The sequence below is a fragment of the Homo sapiens genome, chromosome 2, assembly GCF_000001405.40.
Source record: "Homo sapiens chromosome 2, GRCh38.p14 Primary Assembly".
Classification (NCBI taxonomy): Eukaryota; Metazoa; Chordata; class Mammalia; order Primates; family Hominidae; genus Homo; species Homo sapiens.
The window spans coordinates 181,505,679-181,529,285 of record NC_000002.12 but is presented as its reverse complement, the minus strand read 5'-3'; the positions used below and the strand labels follow the sequence as shown (position 1 = coordinate 181,529,285).

General features: G+C 35.3%; 1 protein-coding gene across 1 annotated transcript in view; it reads right to left on the bottom strand.

Moving 5' to 3' along the window:
* The window catches only part of ITGA4 (integrin subunit alpha 4), an 81,736-nt gene that overhangs the window by 9,655 nt on the left and 48,474 nt on the right, over positions 1-23,607 (bottom strand). Inside the window, exons 16-22 of the mRNA NM_000885.6 lie at positions 19,479-19,628; positions 17,511-17,587; positions 6,945-7,095; positions 5,754-5,849; positions 5,036-5,115; positions 3,995-4,084; positions 1,899-1,989 (exon numbers count right to left, since the gene is read on the bottom strand). Of these exons, the coding sequence (NP_000876.3) occupies positions 1,899-1,989; positions 3,995-4,084; positions 5,036-5,115; positions 5,754-5,849; positions 6,945-7,095; positions 17,511-17,587; positions 19,479-19,628 (735 nt within the window). The remainder of the gene's footprint in view (positions 1-1,898; positions 1,990-3,994; positions 4,085-5,035; positions 5,116-5,753; positions 5,850-6,944; positions 7,096-17,510; positions 17,588-19,478; positions 19,629-23,607) is intronic.

Genomic DNA, 23,607 nt, shown 5'->3' with positions numbered 1-23,607 from the left:
ATGGTTTATTGGAGAAACAGTCTTAGGAGACATAAACAATATATATTTGTATGTTACATTACATATTTTAAAAATATCATTTGGTTCTCATGAGGTAGGCCAACATTTTGGTATTCACCAGCTAAGGGAAATGCTAACAGGTGTTCTTAGTGTTCCCAAGATAAAAGTTAAAAAATGACAAGAGTTATGACCAAAACTCAGGTATTGTAATTCTAAATCCTATGATGTTATCGCAAAAGCACTCTGTGCTAAGGGGATAATCAGCAGGAGAAAGTGAATAAAAATGTATTTTTATTCAGGATCTATATGCTGATGCATTCAGAAGAAAAGTATGTTGTTGGGTTTTGAGAAAGCACAAAAGGTTTTTAACAATACTTGTCAAAAAATGCATAAGAGGATGATAAATTTGGGGATTGAAGATTCCTGAAAAGGGAAATGGGGCCAAAATATAGCCTACTGAACTGGCAGCTTAACTGTAAAACCAATACAGTAAGTCAGAAAGAGATGCATCCCAATACCTCGATTAAAAAAGATGACTTGCAGACCTGCAGTCATTTTATGAATGCATGTGACATAGATGAAGAAAGTGTCTCCAAATTGGGAACAGGTGGTAATTGCTAATCCATAAAAGCACAGGGCAGTTGCAGCAGGAAATGTCAGCAACAGATACCTAGCAGTGCCCAATACTACAGACAAGGTCTTCTGGATGCCATTAAATATCTAAATCACAAACATCTGTTTGCCTAACAACAATTAAACCTCTAAGAATATCTACATAGTTGACTAGACACAGAAATCCTATATACTGCAAGTTTCTCCAGTGCCAGTCACTACATTATACATTTAGTAGAAAATACTTTTTAACTATTAATTGTAAATTAATAAATAAACATTCTAGAGTCCGGTTTGGTTTCTGTTTTAGTTTATCAAAGCACAAACTCCCATTGGGTTTTAAAGAGCATTTCTTGGGACTTCAAAGTGGAGAACTAAAATTTTTCAACATTAGTATCAACTAGTGTAACAAAAATTGGAGTATACATAGAATCAACAGGATTTCAAGGTCATTCTTTTTCCACAGATTTGGGGCAAAGCCAAGGAATTTGCATTCTGGATAGGTACCCCAAGTGATTCTAATACACATTTTGAAAAGCATTGTCTTACAAAATATTATACCTAATCCAAGATTTACTCACAAATATAGATTATTCTATAAGAATGCTTGGACAGTGCTTTTGGTTCAAAGAATTTTTTTTTGGAAATTATATTTACTAATCACCAACATCTTTGATACAATAAAAATATCAGTTTGACAGCAAAAAATGTTTTTAAAAACTTAGGTTTACATCAGTCTCCTAATACTTCTGAATTACGATAGTACTCTTTACTTTAAAAGGTTATTTAATAATTGATAAAGCACTTGTCACAGGTCATAAACTTATGGCTTGAAAGGCTAACCAACGTGATCTTAAATGGAGATGGGAGGTAAGAGCCTCCTTTACTTTGTAGTGCTGAGGTTTTTATACGCTTGAACCAAGAAGAAATTTCACTGATTTGCACCCAAAGATGCCTTCCCTTGGCCTGTCCTGTTTTCTGTATGTGTCTCTAGCAAATTCAGCTCATCCCATAACTTTGCCTGTTTCAGGCATTATCTCTGTTCCTGCATGCTCTTTCTCACCTGTCCTGTAAGGAAATATGGGCTTGAATATCAGGGACAAGACAAGTGGAAGGAAAGCAGCAGGGGTCTGAGAGGCAGGAGTACCACTGCTGCTGCCCCATTCCAGCCAGCTGTGGTCTGCAGAGGCTGAAGGACGTCATAGGTGTACAATGTCCCTTGGAGCAATGCATCAGTGACATCCTTTTAGGTTGTTACAAATATTAACACAATTAACTTTTCTTACATGGAAAGTTAAGTTCATTTTCTCCACCATGCACGTTTCAGGCTCATTTTCATCATTTGATCCATACACAAATGAAGTTGGGTTTACAAACCTGGTAAAAACAAATTCAAATTTAATTAACTGTCTTATTCGATGACGTATTATAAAGAGTCTTTTTCTATAGTCTGGATTATAGCATATTTACAAGTCACCATGGAATACTTTTGGTTTTGTGGTCAGATATACATTTTATTTAAAAAGAAATTAAATTAGGGCCGGGAGCAGTGGCTCATGCCTGTAATCCCAGCAATTTGGGAGGCCGAGGAGGGCGCATCACCTGAGGTCAGGAGTTTGAGGGCAGCCTGGCCAACGTGGTGAAACCCAATCTCTACTAAAAATACAAAAAAAAATTAGCTGGGCGTGGTGGCGTGTGCCTGTAGTACCAGCTACTCGGGAGGCTGAGGCAGGAGAATCGCTTGAACCCGAGAAGCAGAGGTTGCAGTGAGCTGAGGTCACACCGCTGCCCTCCAGCATGGGCAATAGAGCGAGACTCTTAAAAAAAAAAAAAAAAAAAAAAAAAAAAAAAAGGCCATGTGCTCTGACCTGGGTGACAATATCTGTCCCTCACCGATATTCTTTTCTTGCTTTCCATGACACTACACCTTTTTCATTCTACTGACCATTCCTTCTCTTTCAGCCCTTAAGTGATTCATGTAAATTTGGCAAATGTAATGTGGGATAACTTCTTAGTTTTTTCCTAAGGTTCTCATACCTCAATTTATGTTACCCATTTTTGAATTATTTCTTCCCATCTCATGATCCCTGCTGGCTACTTATAATGAACCCCAAATCTGGGGAACAAGTCTAACATTATTAAGTATGATAAATTTTTTGTTACAATACAAGGCTGTCACTCTCTTTTAAAGGCCTGTGATTTGACATTTTTATCTGCAATAAACTCTAAGAAATATGTTTCTAGGGAGATCTCTACTCCATAAGGTGCTCACATTTGGCAGCTAATATTAGGTAATACCAAATTAGAAACTCATGAAACAGGAAAGTAACCAGCATAGATTTAGGCAGTTTAACAGGTGAACATACCTTGTTCAAAATAATGAGATGTGAATAACAGAAAAATAGGAAGACACTCATCATAAGCCAGGAGGAGTGGCAAGATAAACACTGAAAACCAGGAAACACGCAATGAACTTTTTATTTGCTTACTCGTGATTCTCTAGGTCTTACTCTCCTGTGAATGGCCTTTTTTCACCCGTTTGCTTTATCTCAAACTTGATACTCAATTCCATCAGACACTGACATTTTACATTTACATGACTGTATATCACCTTTCTAAGTGGATAAGATGACTGCGGGATGGTTTAGATTTAGAGCAACAGGAAAGGCTCATCTGTCTATTTGTTCTGTAACTCATATCTTCTACTGCATAAAAATGTAGTTTTAAGGACTAACACCATGAATAAGTTCTAGTGGAATTACTGAAGGTTTCCGTAAGCCCCCTTTTATTCTTTCTCCACACATCTCCTTCTTGAATGAGAGGGGGATCCACTCAATCATTAAAATCATGAGGAAGCAATGAATTCTGATACTGTGGTTGAGGAATCTGGTGATCCCATAGGTATAAAAAGTGGACAAGGGACACCTTGCAGCCAGATCTCTCACATCTCAATCCATTTGCCACATGTGTAGATACGGGTCTGCAGAATAGTGATTTGACTAAGTTCACACTTCTCTGAACTTCACACTTGACATGGGCATTAAGTATGATTATGCAGACTGCATACTGCCTAATTCCAGATTAGGATTACACAGTGCACAGCTGAAAGGCTCAGTGTGGCCTTGCTAGCTTGTTGGGGCTCTCACAGTAAGAAATCTCCTCCAGCTGGGTACTAGTTTGATGTAGTATCAGTGATGATTATAGAGTGGATTATTATAATGGACAGCTAAGTAAGGGACTATAACAATGAGGTAATTATTAAAAGATAGAGTATCCTTTTTATTTTAAAAAAATTCTAGAATACAGTTTTTTCATTAATGTAAGAAGCAAGGAAACTGTAAATCAGCTCTAAATTTGAAAGGAAGCCTTTATGTCTACTTACCCATGAACAGTCAGCTTAACCTCATATTTTAAAGGTATTGCTACAGTCACTCTGCTGTGCTTTAGATTGTCCATTTCCTCTTCATTTTCACTATACAAACAGAAAACACCCTGTTAGAATTCACCAAGCAGAAAAATCTTCAGAGAGAACTAATTACATACCCTGTATACCTAATATACTCAGAGGTTTGCTTAAATGCTTTTTGAGGAGTGGGGATAAAAGTAGATATGGTAGTAAAAATTTTTTAGGACAAGGTTGGCAGAAAATTTCTCTCATTATTTAAACTGTTATCATTTGCTTCTAATGCTAGATAGAGGAATTTTTTTTTTTTTAACAAATAGTTACATTTATTAGATTAAAAGATTTTTTAACATTTATGTTCTAGGTGGTACAAAAACCAGAATAAATAGGTAGTTTAGAAACAAATCTATTACTCTCTTTAGGTTGAAGAAGTATTTTTGCAAGACTTAATGATCAAAGAAAGCACATCAATCATATAATTTTTTAAACTGTATAGCAAGTCATGTACTGCCTTAACGTATCTTTATAATCAGTTTTACTTATAGAGATTTTTAGGATGAGAGGGTGACCAAGTTGTTGTGTTAGGTAAAATGAAGTCCATCTTGACGTTTATTCTGAATTTTAAAAAATATATTGAAACTTCACTCATGAAATAGTCATTAACGATTTCCTATTTACTCTAGGAGACATATCTATGGAAGTCATTACCCTCACTTTTAAATCTTGTAGAGTTATTACTTGTAAACTGTTTATTCTGTTTTTGATTTCAAATACACAGTTTGATTCGTGACACATCATGTCTACTCTAATCTAATCTAATAAATACTTAACATAGCTCAAGAGCTAAAACATTGCCAGTAACTCCCATTTAACTATGTTGTTTGGTTCTTTTAAAAGCATACCACGTAAGAGAAGTTTTCTCTTACAATTAATGGAACACAGTTTTACGGTTCTCCTAATTCCCCCCCCTCAGAATATGGGGGTATATTTCTAGTTCATTTTATTAACAATAAATTATACCAGGTAGCATGCACTGTGATACTGAGGTCCTCTTCCGCTCTGCTGAGTGAGCTCACATCCAGGAGAAAGCTAATATCTATCTGTAAAACACAGACCAGGAAAGCCCATTAAAAAAAATCTTAAGTACATTTTTTATAATCTGAATTTTTTTCTTAAAAGTTTATGTTCTATGGAATGTAGAATTGAACCATTGTAAAGGCATCAGCTACTCCTCCCTTGGCAATAAGATTCAGGGAAGTTGTTGGGTTTGTGGCTATTTTAAAGTACACACATATCCACACGTAACATTCAGAGACAAAGACGTCTCTGAATGTGAACGCAGGCAAGTCTAGACAAAATTAGAAATGCTTTCACAACTTGAGTGGAGACTCTTGCCAAAAACACCTTTTTGTATAGCAGAGGTAACATGCCTGGCAGACAGGACCACCTGCGGTGGGGGTGGGGGTTTTCGGGAAGGGTGTGTAGGGGGAGCAGAATTCTGATTGACACATGCACATGCCCATTTCGATGTAAACATGCCACCCCCTTTAAAACAGCAAACATTGCCAAGAATATAAACACAAAGCTCAAAGATTTCAAGAACCAGTTTTATTTCATCACTCAGCTACCTACCCCAAGCTAAAATATTTATAATATTTTCTATGCAACCTAAAGATAGGGAAGAATAGAAAAAAATATTCATGATAGTGAACAAAAGCCATAAATATGAAACACTTACCCTTGAGAGATGATCTACATATATATAGCCAATACTGCAGTCAAGTTGTACCACGCCAGAGTTATCTGTGACTTCACAGTTTATTTGCTTCTCTTCCTAATGGGAAAAATGAAACAACTGTTTTGGACAGGAAGGAAATAAAAAGTTTGTAACATATGTTTAAGGATGGTTATTGAAAAGAATATCATCCCAGAAGTATTTGCTTTTCTAGGAAAACTATTTTCTATTTATATGTTTGAGATAAATAGACATATGATATAAATATGTGTGCATGTGTGTATATATGTATGTGTATATATATGTATGTATATATGTGTGTATATATGTGTGTGTATATATATGTGTATGTGTATGTGTGTGTGTATATACATATATGTGTGTACTCTAGTATTCAAACAGATTCTCCACAAAAAAAAAATTCTGGACTTGTAGCTTTCATTTATCTTGATATATTCCCTATTTAATCCAGGGTCTGAATTCCTTGAAAAATCATGAGGCAAGGAATCCATAAGGTTCATATTTTAATGGTCCTCTTCTGTCTGGTATGTGAGAATGTGTTTAAGGTATTTAATCAAAATAGCTATAATCTCAATAGGTGTAATGAGGTTATAATTGCAATAAGTATAAAATGCTTTAAAAATACTGTCCGTGAATATCTGAGTTTCCACTGTTACTTTTGCAAGTAGCGCAAACACTAGAGAAAGAAGGTAACAGATATTCGTGAGAGGTCAAAGGTCACTATTGGTATGAAGGTGTGGTCCCTGGACAAAAGATGAGCGAATTTGATAAAGAATAGAGAAAATTCTATTAATTGTCTGAGTGTCACCTTAAAATAAAGAACTATAACTCTGGAGTCCAGGATGGAGGATCAATGTTACTTGTGCAAGGACCACAATCAAGGGGATACTGTTCCAACATCAGACGTGTGCTGGCTACGGCAGTGAGAATGTAAAGGCACCCAAACAGCTTCCTCCTACTCCTAGTACTGGAAAACAGGAGGCTGATGCCTTTGGACTTAAGACCCAAGAACTTGCCATTCTGAGCAGGGGCACAGAGTAAGTCTGAAAATAACTAGGAGCCTAAATATTAAGACTTATACCCCAAATCAGTGAAGTGAATTCTACCATTTACTTTTAAAAAATTAAGTAAAATACCAAGTAGTATCATGCTATTGTGGTTTACAGTACTTACCAGCTCTAAAATCTTAATGAAATAAAGACCCACGGGTAGTTTGACATGTAGAGTCGTTTCATATGCATCATCTCCAGCATTAAACAAGGACACATTCAACATCAATGTCTTCATACTCCCAACAGCAAGATATGTTTTATTTTCATGGGGCCTAAAAATTAAGTAATATTATTTAGTTCTTGTTTAGGAAATAAAAATCCCTCTCTCTTATATGCATACAAGGATATATGTATATAATTTATGCTGAACATAAAATACTAATTTTCTTGGAAAAACAATCATGGGATTGACCCTATGCAAGCAGATGTAAAACCATATTAAGAAGAACTCTTTGTCATGTTTTTTATAAATTCAGTCACCTATTACCCAAGGAAACTTTAATGAGCTATAATTAAACTCGTATCTTTTCTCATTTCTTTTCTGCATAACCTCTTGCTTCTATAATTTTAACATTTTCCTGATTATTTCGTAACATTTTCTAAAGGCAAAGCAGTTTTTCTTTTCTTTCTTGCAAGCCTAAAATAGACATTGAACTAGCTGCTGCCTGAACCGAGGGAGGAAAATGGAAGGAACTGGTAGAAAAGAAGACTAGAAGGAATACTTGGTAGAAGTGAGCAAGGCATGAGGAAGAACTACTATGTCCACCCACAAGTGCGTGGCACTAAAATCTGTTGGACTAGAATTAAATTGTGAAGCAGCTGGTCACCTCCACCAGTAACTAGGCCAAATTTAAAAACAGAACTGGAGAAATGCTTCATCCTCCTGTGTATTGCAAAGTATAGATTGCTGTAAATCCATATATATGCACGAGTTCAAGTCCTGGCACTGCCAGCAGTTCTTTCTGGTGGGGAAGTAATTTAGCATTTTTAAGCCTCAGTCATCCTATTCCATACTACCTACCATTCACTGAAGATCTGGGTTATGTATACTGTATAAAGTCCTTAAAATATTTTAAATATGAAGTATTTGAGACATAAGGAACTTATTCAAAGGCCACAGCTAGAATGTTCTGAAGTCTTGAAACAATTGCAAATTTCTACAGTTCATTCTTTTTCCCAGTGAGAGGGTTAGAACAGCTATGTGCTAAGGAAAACTTTCCAATACAGTATGTCATTTTATAAACTTTCCCCTAAGAACAGAAGTTCTTAGATATCTAGTAATTTAACATTCAGAAAAATTAGTTAAAAGTAGAGAAGCATTTACCCAAAGCAAAATATCAGGTGAGGATAGATAAAAAAGATAAATATCCACCTAGCACTGCAGAATTTAGAAAGTTTCTTCAATAATGTTTAAATTGTGTCATTCAAATCAACATTTGTAGAGAAGATTAGTGTTTGAATAAACTATTTATGGAAATACTAAAGATACAGTAGGAATTTAGTTGTTTTTGTGAATTGATTAAAGACAGAGTATGTAAGGACAGAGTTTAAGAACATGTTTCAAAATTTCTGCTTTTAATTATTACTTGAAGATTCATGAATGAATTGAAAGTTTCTGTACAATAAATCAGGCACTAAGTTCATCGTTCCCAAATACCAACACACTTCACTCCTTCCTAGAGCTGATATAATAAAGGACAGATGTGTAAATAAATGTAAAAAAGATACACAAACGGGCAAGTGTTGTGAATAGAGGGCTCTGGGAAACCACTTTTTGCCTGAGGTAGTAAAGACATGATACTTGTTCTTTCTCTACTACTATGGTTAAATTGGCTGCCTCAAGAAATTTTAAGTCTGAAAATGTCATGATTGAACCTAAATTCACTTGGATTGAGTTTCTAATTGATTTATCTGTCTCAAGTCCTTCTCCTCTCCTTTAATCCAGTCTTCACACTGCCAGAGGGTCATTTTCAAGAAAGCAAACTAGATAATGGTGTCTGTTGAGAACCATACATTGCCTTCAAGATAAGAGTTCCAACTCCTTAGCATGACACAGAGGCCCTCCAGAGTTGGCCCCTGCTTCACTTTCACTGCACAATTCATTGTTTCAGTCATATTTTTCTATAAACAGGCATCTAATACACCAGGATGTTTTGCGTCTTCCTTCAAACTAGCACTCTGATGTCAACATCTCCTCTTCATGCATCTGACGTGTACTTATTCTTCAAGATTTATCTTGGACGTCAATAATTCTCAGTTGTTCTTCCAGCCAAAACTCACTGTTAACCACCTTCACCCTGCATTGCTCTCCCCTAACAGCGTAAGGTGGCAGCTTCTCCCTCTCTCAAAGCACACGGGGCACCTCTATAAAAATGCAGTATTTTCACAATGTCAAGTCTCTGGTTCCTCTCACTACTAGACTAATTTGCCTTGGGGAGAAGATGCTGGATCGTGATTCACATGCTTTCTCAGAGCCTAACAACACAGTCTTCAAAAAATATAAGCAGGTAAGTACATGTCTGTATTAAATGTAAAGAAGGGTTCGGTGGTGTCCAAGCAACATGTCAGAAAAAAATTGGGGAAATTATTGGATAAGTTATTGACTGTTAGAAGTCTATGAAAGTATCAGCATAAATACTGTCACGTTATAGCCTTAAACCGTGTTTATCTGTTCTGTGATGCTATACAAATTCCAAATGTCTCACTAAGAAAGTAAATATCTAGCATTACCACATTGCGATCTGTACCCCCATCCAGACAACCTAATGTTTTGGTGGTGATAAACCTACTGAAATGACCTATGAATTAATGGCATCATATGACCATGGCAAAATCCAAACTGGAAATGTGGTACGGTTTTTGAGAGTTATTCTTATGAACCTCGGAATATGCAAATAAAATAATTTTGGATATTTCCCCCCACTTTTATAACTCTAATGTAACTTCTAAGAAAATGGACACTTCACTTAATGCTAGAAAATTCTTCCTCTTTTTTTCTATTTTAAACTTATCAGAGTATAATACATGCATAGAAAAATGCACATATCCTGATTGTACAGCTCAATATTTTTTATGAATACATGCGTTAAGCACCTAGCTCAAGGAAATAAATATTAGCAGCACCACTGAAAAACCCTCTGGGGCTTTTTCTTCCAGTTATTGTCCTCACCCTCCTTGATTTTTAATAATATAACTTGGTTTTGTTCGGTTTTGTATTTTATATAAATGTAATGTAATCTTTGAGTATCTGTTCTTTTGCATGGCTTTTATTCAAAATTTTGTTTGTGAGATTAACATATTGGTACATGTAGTTGTAAAATGTTTCTTATCATTGGTGTATATAGTCCATTTTATGAATATGCCACATCTTATTTATCCTTTCAATTATCCATGGGACTTTTGACAATTTCCATTTTTGGAACTATTATAGTTTTTTGGTCAACATACACACGTAATTCTGTAGGCTAGATACATATTTATATCTATCTTTGTTTCTATCTAGGAGAGATTCTTATAATTTTTTAACTGAGGATTAATTTCTTAAAAATCTTTGAATCTTGGCTTACTTTCACAACCAGCCTAAGTTATATTGACAAACTATGTTTAAAAAACAAAATATACTATCAGGCACTATTTTTAATTAATAAAAATATATATACTTTAGAATTTCCATATAAAAAGCAAGCATATCATAGAGTAGAGGTCTGTAAACTACTCCCTGAAGGCCAAATTCACATGTCTGCCTACTTTAGTAAATAAAGCTCTATGAGAACACAGACATGCTTTTGCACTGCAGTGACAGAGTTGAGTAGTTGGGACAGAGATCTCTGTCCCACAAAAACTCAAATATGTACTATCTGTCCCTTCACAGAAAAAAATGCAGGCTCTTGCTACAGAGCAATCCAATTGATGAGTAAATTAATTACAAAATAAACATATAACATATTACCATATTTAATTGAAATCTATTTTGTACTATTCTGACTATAATAGAAGCTTCATTATTTCAGATGGCATAGGATGCAGTTCTTTACCCCAATAAGCCATATGAGAATTAGAGAAAATGATCCCCCAGTCCTCATAACTCCTCCAGACATGGAGAAGAAAGGAAAGAATGCTACTTCCACATGCATCATCTCTACATTGGGATCCCTGATTTGAGCAGTTGGATATGCTGGAAGAATGTGTAATAACTAACAAAGCAGTAATTCCAAACCCTGGGTATCACTGCAGGGTGGAGGAGTCTGAGTGACAGTGTGCTACCACAACATTTTAGGGAATGGCTGTGATTTACTCGTGCCTGTGTTGTAAACCTTGGGGTTAAGTAGTATGAATCTGCTTGGTGGCACTGTTAAATGGGAGAGAGGAAGTGTGTGGGAACATGGCTGTCCCACATCCTGCCCCCCCACCCCAAACTCTATAATCATGTTAGGACTAAAGCAACCTAAGAGGTTCTAAAAGTAAACTTCAGCTTGACATTAAAGTTTAATTAAGACTTGTAGAAGAGCTGCCCAGAAATAGACATTTATAAAATATTCTGGCTTGTAACCAAAGCATTAGTCACTGAACACCTTTGGGAAAGAAGTTGGCACTTAGACAAGCAACAGAAGGTGAAAGCACTGCATAAACAGCTAGGTTCCAAGACAACAGCAAATTAAAGAGAAACACAATGTTCACATTTCAGCAGCTAGACTCCTGGTTTATTTTCCATTTTTAAGCTGTTTTGCCCCATTACCATAATTACAATTCTACTTTCTTTCCCCTAAATATACATCTTACTGTAAATTGATTCATTAACAAGATGCTCTCAGAAAGATACCTACCAGCTTCCTATGTGAGACATAATAAAGAACCAGGTGCACATCTGGAAGTGCGACAAGACTGAACCAGAGCTGTCCCTGGGACTCATAGTTCATTCTTCATTAAAACATGCATAATGCAGACTTGAAATTTACAAAGCAGCACAGAATCCATGTAACTTAAACAAATCAAGGTACTGTGTACATACAGAATCATAACTTAATAAGTGACAGAGGAAAAATAGAAAAATGATGTACCGCAGCACCAGGCTCTATGTTTTTTTCTGAGTGAATAATATAGCTTTATTTTGCAAGAAATGCTCCCCAAGTCTTAGTATAATGAATTCACCCTGTCTCCCTAAAATGAATTAGGGCTTGATAGCTAACTTGTTTTTAATCAAGATGCTAGAATAAAATATAATGTAAACTGATACCATACTTCACTATGTCAAGATACATGACTCATTTATTTGACAAAAGAGTAACCTGCAGCAAGTAGTCTACAGGCCTAAGTACAATTTTTATCTTTTTTTCCTTTACTACTGACTTCAGGGAAAAAGACAATACTGAAAAATTCTTGCCTGTTGGAATAGACAGGTTACCTGACATTTAGGAAGATTTTATTAAAGACAGGCAAACTCACTGAGGTTAAGGGAAGAACAGCAGAAAAACTTAAATTGGAAGATTGAACCAGTAATTAGCATGTCTTAGTTTATAAAGCATATAATTCATTCTCCCAAAACTTTATGCTGTCAGTGAGCCAAATATTCGTACTATTTCCATTTTAAAAATGGACAATTTCATCACACTAGCTCTTTCGGGAATTAACAGCATGGTGGCAGATGTTGCTCCTTGCTCATTGTCTAGCCAACAGTGATTTCCCTTCTTAGCTGCCAACAGAGCCCTAGATTATTCAGGTGACAGGCAGCATTCCCTTAATATTTCAGAAGACAGACCTCTAGGTTCAACTCCAGAGAATGTATCACAATAACAAAATAATTGATTCAGGATCAATTTACTGTGATCATGACGACTCCATTCTCCTTCAACCATAACAGAATCAGGGATAAACAGGTAACACACGTCTGGTTAATCAGAATACATCAAATGAGGCACTGCCCTTCCTGGAAGGGCAACTTAAAGATGACCAAGCACTTTTGCTCTTTTCCCTTTTCTCTTGCTTGGAAGCTTGATGCTGCTTGGCTATACTGTGATCATGAGGAAAAGCTGAGAGAGCTGGAAAGATAACCATCAATGTCTAGTCTTTGGTAGCTGTTCACCAAACCTGTGAACATCCTTCCTCAAGACTGCTTATTATGCGAAATAATATCTTTATTGTTTAAGTCACTATTAGTTAATTACTCTAAAACTTGCAATTAAAAGTATTCCTAGCAGATACAGAAGCAATTGTTCAGGGAAAGCTTACATCACTCATTCTGGAAGCACAACTGAGGTGCAGAAATGTATTGCGGTATCATTTACATGAGTTTCAAGGATTTGATTTTAAACTCCCTATGTGATGGCTAATACCTTCTATTATATTTGTAATCTTGAAGTCGTGTTGGTTCATCTTTATTTTGCACTGCAAGTCCTTTATAAATGCAGTTTATTGTCCTAAGCATTTAGACATACAGGAGGAAGCCTCAACTTAAGAGATGAGAGAGAGTGGATAAGCACTGTTTAGCGTACTGTTGACAGTTTATTATTGCAGTCTTCAGAAACTCATGTTCTTTACTGAGTAAATACATTTACCTAAAACAGGTTTATAGCTCTGGGGCACATAAATACCATTAGTGCCAGCAGAGTTATAGCTGGGAGAATGTATGGAACATATGGTCACAATTCGCCTACTGTTTCTGAGAAAGGAGAGAGGACACCTCTGTGGGAGAGACATATTTCTGTCTGATAGAGTATAATTTACCAAAACACAAAGCACTTTGTCAGAACCTTTCACTGTGAGTCTAAGAAATTAATTAGAAGGGCTCTCATTTGAAAGTTCCTCAAATAATCATTTATCTAATAGAAATACATAGCCTGTAACTTTCTTAGTTGATACAAAAAATATGGCGCCTACTACTTTATATGGACATTCATGCCACTTCAAACCTTGTAAGACTGCAACTACTGAGCCAGTCACAGCAGCTATATTTTCAGGATATAAAGCTTATATGCAGAATTATGTATAGAATTGGCAATGTTTCATTTTATGGCCAAACTAAAAAAGCTTATCTATAGAAATTCCAACCATAATATTTCAAAAATAGAAATAGTAATGACTTTTATTGAGTCTTCATGGAAATCAGGCTTTGCACTAGGCACTTGGCCTGCATTATTACCCTTTAAGACAACCTTAATGAGTCGGTACTATTTTTACCCACTTAGCAATGAGGAAAGAGGTCTAGAGAAGTTAAAAGTCTTCTCTGAAAAGGTCACTAGTAATACAGTAGATATGGGATTTGAACCAGGTCAGATTGACTTCAAATCTGGAAGCTCTTCACCACCATAACATTGGTTCTTAGGTTTCAGTGTGATAAGAACTTGGAGCTCTATTAATTGTGAAGATCTGTGGCCTGGTCCCCTTTAGTTCTGACGTGGATGGTCTGGGGCCTAGGAATCTGCATTTCTTTCAAGCATCCAGGTGATTCTCATAAAGGTGGCTCAGAGACAACACCTTAAGAAACACAGCCTTATACTTCATTTAAAATCATTATGCCATTTAAAAATCATAATGGGTTTGATAGGCTGCAAGAAATATTATCACTCTAAATTAAAAATGCAAAGCAGATATTTTGTTGTGAGAAAACATGTAACAAAGAAAAATAATTCATTAAGATGCATTTTCATTATTCAGGAAAGAAGCATAGTTAGTAATATTTTCTTATAAATGTCAATGTCTCATTTTCTCATAGGCCAGAGAGACTGCAATGAAAGGTGATAGCACAAGTGTCTGATTTAAGAAAATGAAAACACTCCTTTACTTGCAGCTTAGAAAAGATTTCCCCCACACAGCTCGTCTTCTTATCAAAGGCCCATGAGGGTAAAAACACCAAGATAATTAAGCGGTTTAGGAAGAAAATAAATACAGAAATGGGAAGATTATAAGTTATTCAACTAAGAAATCAATAAAGGCACTGCCCTACATGCTGGGATACAAAGTAGTCCGTAGTCTCTGTTTCTGGATTACAGTTAATCTGGGTAATTTAAGTATAAAATCCAATCATCAATCAAATAGGTCAAGGCTTTTTGGCCCTGAACTATGGACTCTCAAGGCTAAACTGACATTGCCTAAGTGAAAATAATTGATTCTCAGCCATATGTGATCCTACCACAGTAGGGTACTCAACCCTATTTGTCAACCTTTTTACTTATTCCTAGTTGACTCCCTGTCCTTAATCTATTTTGAATTTTTTCCATTCCTTTCAGTTCCCAAACATATCCTCAATGCCTTCAATTACCACATATAAACTTGCTTTTTATCCTAGCCATCCATGAGTTCTCTGTATTTCCCTTCCTTCCACACTGAAATTTCTTAATGTCAAACATATTTTCATAGCTTGTTAGCTCAAGATAAGGAGATTCTTAACTAAGGCTAATTCCTCTACCTATGAATCTGATCCCTTTTGGGATCTTGTTCCATTCTCAGCAAACCTCTCCAGTCACCTGCAGCACTCCAGGCACTGTTAGGCATTGGGAACACAAAAATGACAGGACCCTGCTTTGCAGCAGCTTCCAGGACAGTGTGGAGACAGACTTTCAATAATCGTGAGCACAGGGCCATAGGACCAAGGGCACAACAGAACTTAAGTTTAAGTAGCTGAAGACCAGGGGGCTTCCCCTAGGAAACAGGTGAGATTTAAAAGATAAATAAAAGTTAATCAGGTAGATGGGCAGAAGAAGTGAGAAGATACAGAGGTTCAGGAGAGCATGGCACAGCCAAACCACCATAAGTATTCAGCCATTGATGAAAAACTTCCTGGGGAATTGGTGAAAAATACCACCCAGGAGTTTAGATTTTAAGTCTAAAATGAGCCACTGAAGCACTGTTATCACATGTGTATGTTAATAATGCAAAATCAAAGGCCAGTATCCTAGAAAGCAGGAGAACTTAGTGACCTAGGTAGGATAGTGAGTGCCTAGTTTGGAGTAATAGTGGTAGAGATAGCAAAGCATGATGGATAAGAAAGACATCTAGGTGGTAGTATTGTAGTACTTAATAATTCTGGATATCAGAAATAAGAAAGAGAAAAGAATGCAGATTGAGCCCTAGGTTTCTGGCTTTGGTAACTTTCTAATGTCCATGTCATTCCTGGATAGTGCCTGGACAGATTGAAACTATAGGGCAACCAAAAGGACATGTCTAATAGGGAATTTGATATGTAGGTGGGTGTGAAACTCAAGAGACACTGGTTTAGGCATCAGCAGTGTAGGCATGCCAGTTGAAATTGCAGTTATGAGCAAGACTACCAAGGTTGAATGTGGTAGTGAGAGAAAGGGCTGAGGGAGGACCATTTAGGGTGCCAAACCCAAAGATCCATCAAAAACAGCTGAAAAGAAAGGGCTAAATAACTACTAAGACAATGGGAGTAGGATAGTATCATGAAAATTAAAGGATAAGACATTCAAAAGAGGAAGTGAACAGTGAAATGCTTCAGAGTGGAATTCAAGTATGGACTGAAAAGCATGTGCTGGAAGTTAAGTTGAAGATGTCTCCCTCCAATTTATTCTTTTCCCTGCCTCTGGCACTCACATTTACATCTTCTAATAATTGAACAAATAACAACATTTGATAAATACATAAAAATACCTCACTTGAACCTACTTGTTCCCAGTATACTCTCCTTTCTTTAATCACTAATCCTGTCATTTGGCTACTTCTGCACTGAGAGTTCTATCTTAACATTTGCCAGTGATACCCATTTTTTCACCACCCGTCACATTTTATTAATAAATGCCAACTTCCATGACCTTTAGACATTACGTTATCTGATCTTTTTATAAATTTTACAATATTAAGTCTCCCTTTTTATATTCTCCATTGGCTATTTCACCAGGGACTTGGTTCTCTTTAATTCCTTGAAGATGCCTTCTCAGTCTCCTACAGGGACTCCCCATTCTTTTTAATCTCCTTGAATAAAACTGTCCTCCAAGATTTGATCTGTAATTTTTTTCCTCTGTGAAATTCACATTTCTATCCCTTGGGCCATCTCACAAGTCACTAATATATGGAGGAACTTCCAAACATAATCCTGAACTAGATTTTCAAGTGGAATGCCACATAGAAAAGTCCCTCCAAATTCAACATGCCCCAGATTAAAGCTGCTCCATTTATATCCCAATCTCCCAAAAATAGTTCCCCGTTTCCCTGCCCTGTCACTGATGCATCTTCTTCCCTTCTTTCACTTGCCTTCTATGATCAATCCTCAACCTGAAGTGTTCATTCTCTCTCTCTGGTCCTTGTTTTCACATCATCTTTTTGATATGCAAAATGATTTGAATATAGGGGATCCAGATATGATACAAAATTGCAGTGGTTTATTTGCCATTATAAAATAACGACAGCAACCAACATTTATCCAGTCTTTGCTATGTGTTAGATGCTATTCTAAAACACATATCTATTTCCTTTTTACTCTGTTTCCCCTTCTATGAATTTAGAAGAGCAAGATAGTTTATTCCTTTTTAAATTTGTCATACTTGGATTATATATCAGTCTGAGTGATATAACCAGTTTTCTGGCCGATAAAAAACTAAGCATTGTGTTGCTAATTCTTTAAACGCTGTTAATTTTCAAGGGTTAGCTCTTGTTCCTTTTCTTTTGGGAATGCAAATGCACACACTCATTACACCCTCTCGATGAATAACAGAGACTATATACCACATATACTTACTTCAAAAACCCAATCTTTGCAGAAACCTGTAAATCAGCAGAACAATTTTCATGGGCACAAAACCTTGCAAAGTTTATCTGGAAATAAAAAGACAACGTTTTTTATTTTGATTTAATCAGCAAGTATATTTATATATATTTTAAAGATGACGACACCTGTGATGCATGAGAAAAATAAAATTGATACATCAAATTGACAACTCTTTATTTTATCTCTTTTAAAAAGTTCAATTTGAGAATTAGTAGGGTTCAAATGACAATTACTTGCAGGGCTAAAAGAGCTAAGTTCTAAATAGGTAAAATTTAAAGCCCAAATTTTCTAAGTGAAATAAGATTTGGAAAAAAAGTTAAATGAAAGGCATTAAAGGAGTTTATTAGCTGCCAAGATGTTTTTCATTGGGTTCCTCTCAATTTTCTGTTGCTGCAGTTTGATCCCATTTATTACGTGTAAGTATGGCACTTAATTGTGACAGATGTTGGGACAGTGATTTTATATTCATTGAAATTAGCTACATGGAGATACTTAGAAATTTTACTTAGAGGAAATATTGAACAAAATTAAATAAGTAAGGGTTTCAGAATTTAATTAACTCGAAGCTTTTTAATAAGATCAATAAATACTACAAAGGACCTAGGAAGACCCAAGGCATAAGCTGGGCAAAAGGAAAAAATGGGGAGAGATAAAAGGGAAGGTAACGGGAACAGGTAGAGAGAGACAGATGCAGAAAACAAAGAGAGATCTAGAAAGTCAGAAGGAGCCAGGCTCATTAAGTGTGAAGTGACTAGAGTACTGTCAAATAGCGTGCCTACAGCTGGGGGAGAGGTGTAAATATCTCTCTAAATAAATATGATTTTTTTTTCTGCCATTTCTATTGGTAAAGCAGGTTGTTCTAAGAATCAAAATATAAATTAATATAACTACCAATTGCTAAGGTTTTGGCTTGTGTACTTGCAATATTGAGATTTTCACTATTAAAGACATTTACAAATAGTTGATGTTGACAACTGAAGTTCAAAAGAAGAGTAAAAACAACCCCTGACTTCCGTAAATATTTTCATATGAGGGTGTAGAGAAAAATCTGCTCTTCAGTTATCTTCATTTGATCCTGTATTCTAGACTAGACTAGTGGTGATTGTAAGCTCAATTATCTTAAAGTGACTATGGGGCAATTTTGTCTGGACAGGATGTGAACTAGACCTTTAAATGTCCCTTTCATCTTTTACATTCTGTGTGTCATTAGTGAACATTTTAATGAAGGCTTTTTACTATGCCCAGACACATCCTGTTTTTGGACAAACCCTATGTCTTTGTGTTGATAGACACTAAAGGTCTGAACAACAGGACTCCTGAGAATAAATACACTGTCAGTGAAACTTAAATATTTTGAGATAATTTAGAAAACGGTTCACTGGTTAGAATGTAGGATCCATCTCAAATGCAATTGATCCTGGGATGTGGCTGAAAAGCATATAATGAAATTTTTAAAAAGAAATTATTGTATAACATAAATACATGTGTCTGTAAATGGGTAAAACTAAGCAAGAAAATTTGATTATGAAGACATGAGTGAATCTGTGAGTAGGATGAAAGCAAGGGAGAAAATGAGAAGAGGAAGATAAACTGAGGACACATGATGACACTGAATAACTAACTTGTAAATACAATCTTCTCCCATTATGATTTCTCTCTAGTAATATATCTTTCTTCACTGGCAAGGCATTAAAAATAGAACATCAGCATTTTATATGAGAATCTACTGTTGTGATTAAATGCATATTTTAAAATATTCAGTTCAATATCCTAAAGGGAATATAAACAATTTAAAGAAATGAATAAATCTATTTTTGTTTTTAAAAATTCGTATTTTTAAAAATTCCGACATATAGTTCACTTCTTCAGAATTATGCCATATTTTAAAAATTTAGTTAAATGCCATACAATAATTTGAATAAAGGAAAATATTCCTACTGTTTTTTTCATTATGTCTTTTTCTTTCTTCTGCTGAAGAATTGGCTGAAGTGGTGGGAATTCCTCTGTACTTCGTTTACTGATGACATGAGGACCAAGGTGGTAAGCAGCTTCAATCTGAATTGGGGTGAGGATGTCCCGCACATCTTTCTAAGGAAAATAACCACCATATGAATTAACAAAAACAAGCACGTAGATTAAAAAAAAATAAAACTCCTTTCCTGAAAAGGGCCAAACACTATACATGGAAGACAAAGCAAATACTTATCTTTTATCTAAACCGTTAAAAAAATGAAGATGTATATTTTTTCATATCACACAAAATCATTTACGTTTCTTATGAAAAACACAAAAAAAATAAAAATGAAAAATAATACTATCCAATAATAGTTATAAAGTTCTGTACTTGGGAGTATTTTCTTCCATGCTATTTTCTACGCATTTAAAAGATAACTTGATATTATAACATAAGCATTTTTCATGATAAACTTTTTGTAAATCATTTCAAGGTGCTTTTTATCCCATTTAACTTTACCCTATACATTTTCTCTTTATATCTCTCAACAACATTTTGATTGAATTTGATTCATTTGACTCCAGATTTATTATAAAACATCCTTTTTAGTTTTTTTTTTTTTTTTTTTTTTTTTTTTTTTTTTTTTTTTTTTTTTTAAGAGATGGGATGTGTCCCTCTGTCAGCAGACTGGAGTGAAGTGTAGCTCACCACAGTTCTGAACTCCTGGGCTCAAGCGATCCTTCTGCTTCAGCCTTCAGAGTAGCTAGGACTACAGATGTGTACCACCATGCCCAGCCCATTTTTTCATATTTATAGAGACAGGGTCTTTCAATGTTTCCCAGACTAGTCTTGAACTCCTGGGCTCAAGGGCTCCTCCAGTTTTGGCCTCCCAAAGAGCTGGGATTACAGGTGTGAGCCACCATACCCAGCCCTTTTCTTTCTTTATGGAACTTTTCTATTATCTTTTCTAACAGATACTGAATGGTATATAGGAAAAGTATTTGTTTTGTACATCTAATTGTATACACTGGTCGCTTCACTGATTTTCTTATTAGTTGTTAAAGTTTTTATTTATTTATTTATTTATTTTTCGTTTTTGAGTCAGTCTTGCTCTGTCACCCAGGCTTGAGGGCAGTGGCGTGATTTCAGCTCACTACAATCTCTCTCTCCTGGGTTCAAGTGATCCTCCCACTTCAGTCTCCCGAGTAGCTGGAATTACAGGCATGCACAACCACATCCAGCTAATTTTTGTATTTTTAGTAAAGACCAGGTTTCACCATGTTGGTAGGGCTGGTCTCAAATTCCTGACCTCAAGTGATCCACCCCACTCGGCCTCCCAAAGTGCTGGGATTACAGGCTTGAACCACCGCGCCCAGCCGTTTTTGTTTTTTCTAAGTTTATTGTGCTTTTATACTTCACAAAGAACTCTTGAATTTATTTACCAGTTACACAGAAATTGTAACCCATTCACAATCCATTCTGCTCTGTATAACATTCATTTAAACTTAATATCTTATGTCTACACAGCATTTCTTACTCCTATTCTTGTTGATATGTGGTCACAAGTTTTTTTTTTCAATAATCAGATTTTTAAAATTCATTGTCTTCTGTCTCCAAAGAAACAGCTCGAGTTTATTACAACTGATTGACAATTCTTACATTTTAACCTTTATTTCTATATGCAGACATTATTTTCTTTTAAAAATATTTTCTATCAACTTACAAATGATTTTCTTTTCATTTGATTACTTGCTATCCTCATTAAAAAAATTCCACATTATTTTCAAAATTATTTGCTTACACACAGTGAAATAAACAAAAAAAAATCTTTGAAAGCATTTGTCATTCGATTAAGTAAGCACTTCACTAGATAGTAAAAGTGTCCTAGACTCTCAAGTCTATGAAAACAAAGAGAGTCAGCCCTCTGTACCCATCGGTTCCACATCTGTGGGTTCAGCCACCTTGGATCAAAAATAGTTGGCAAATAATGGATGGTTGCATCAGTGCTGAACATGTACAGATTTTTTTTCTTGTCATTATTCCCTAACTAATACAGTATAACAAGTATTTACATAGCATTTACATTGTATTACATGTTATAAGTAATTTAGAGGTGATTTAAAGTATATGAGAGGATTTACAAAGGTTAAGTGCAAATATGGCACAATTTTATATAAGGGACTTGAGGATCCTTGGATTTTTGTATCCAAGTGGGGTCCTGGAATCAATCCCCCAGGGTTACTGCAGGGCAAATGTATATGAAAATCAGGTAGCATATAAAACACAGTGTCTCTTAGAAAGCACCTGTTCAAGCACTACGCAGACAGAAATGTGATTTTCAAAGGGTACTCAACAAAACAGACTTCTCCTTATCTAAAAGGGTAAGCTAATAAGATTTTACTACTAAAGTAACCTAAGAGGATTTATAACAGAATTCAATTGAGAAACCTAAAGTAAGACATGTCGATGAGAAATCTATAAAATAAGATTTAGACACTGCAAAAATTAAAAGTAGAAATGATCTCAGGATATGAGAGAGCAGTTCACATCACCACATATAGCCCACCTACACGGAAACAAGTGGAGAAAATCTATGCAGTTTTTGTTTTTCTTGGTATTAGAATTGTTGCTATACGCAGGAGATAATTTGATGAATTGGTCACAGACTGTGATGTCTTTCATACTAATAATTTAAGGCTCAGTTTTTGACTCTACTTTTCATATGGCTGTTTCAATCTATAAGTTCTTCTCATCTTAAAAAATAGATTCAACAAATTCCCTCTTGACCATTAAAGAGTCTAGTATTTTCACCCAGGCTAGACATATTAGCTTCAACCATAATTAAGGTTTATATTATGCTAGATGAGTTCCTCAAGGTAGACCCATGACACTGCAATTGACAGACCTCCTACTAAGTAATGTCAGTGGACCAGGTTTCTATTTATCTATAGACATTTCAGGATTGCAATATGGCTTAAACATTACTGCCCCAAAGCAGATAAGGAATAGATTATTTTCAAAGCTCATCAATTAATAATCCTTAAGAAATAGGGAATAAATCCCTATCACACATATTATTGCTGTGTTGCTATATTATTTATATAGTAACTTTTGATAAAAATCAACGAAGTAATTTAATAAAGATGACACACACCACATAAAAGACTATATCTATTCTATGTCTTTATGTAATTATAAACAGAAAGGATGTAATCTTTTTTCTCTTTTCATTTACAACATTATCAATTTATGTATATAGTGGTTAAAAGCAATAGTGGTCTGAAGGTGAAGAACTGGTGTTCAAATCTGGGGTCCACCACTTATTATCTACATAACATTGGACAAGTTTCTTAATTTGTCTATGGCTTAGTTATGTTATCTGAAAATAGGAATAATAACAATTATGGTGGTTATACTTATACCTTACTGTTGTGATGATTAAATGACATAATGTCCATAAAGCAGACCTGACAAGATTTGTATGTTGCTTCAAATTTCAGGTATATAAGCCAGCTAAGAAATTACTAAATTTCAGTTTCCTAGAATAGGAGATTCTGGTGAACATTTGGAAGGAATAAGAAAACTGAACTACTACTGCCAACCATCAACATTAAATAGAAAATTAGTTATAGAACAAGGAATAGAGCTCTATTTATTAAACGGTATTTAGAAGATTTGGAGCCTGAGAGTACTCAAGATCCCTGATTACTTTTCCATTCTTATACAGAGATTCTTATATTAAATTACTTGGTAAGTGATCATCTCAACATGAAACTTTGACCGTATAGGAATGCTGCAAATCAAGGCCAAATCCCAAGTTATCGACTTGTGAAAACGGAACAGCTTGAAGCCCTGAGTATTCAAGTAATAGCAAACTTGATTAAATCATTCCCTAGGTGTAGGAGGAGCTAGACAGCCACTGATTGTCCCTCCACATGTCCACTGTTTTAATTCTTCTCAACAAGCTTACTTTGACCAAATCACATGCTATCTAATTCATACTAATTTTCCACAAGGTCTTCTCTACATCTGTTGTATATTACTTTCATTATCCTAATTAGCTATTAATTACGCTTTTCTTACAATATATAAAATGTACATGCACTCTTGCAA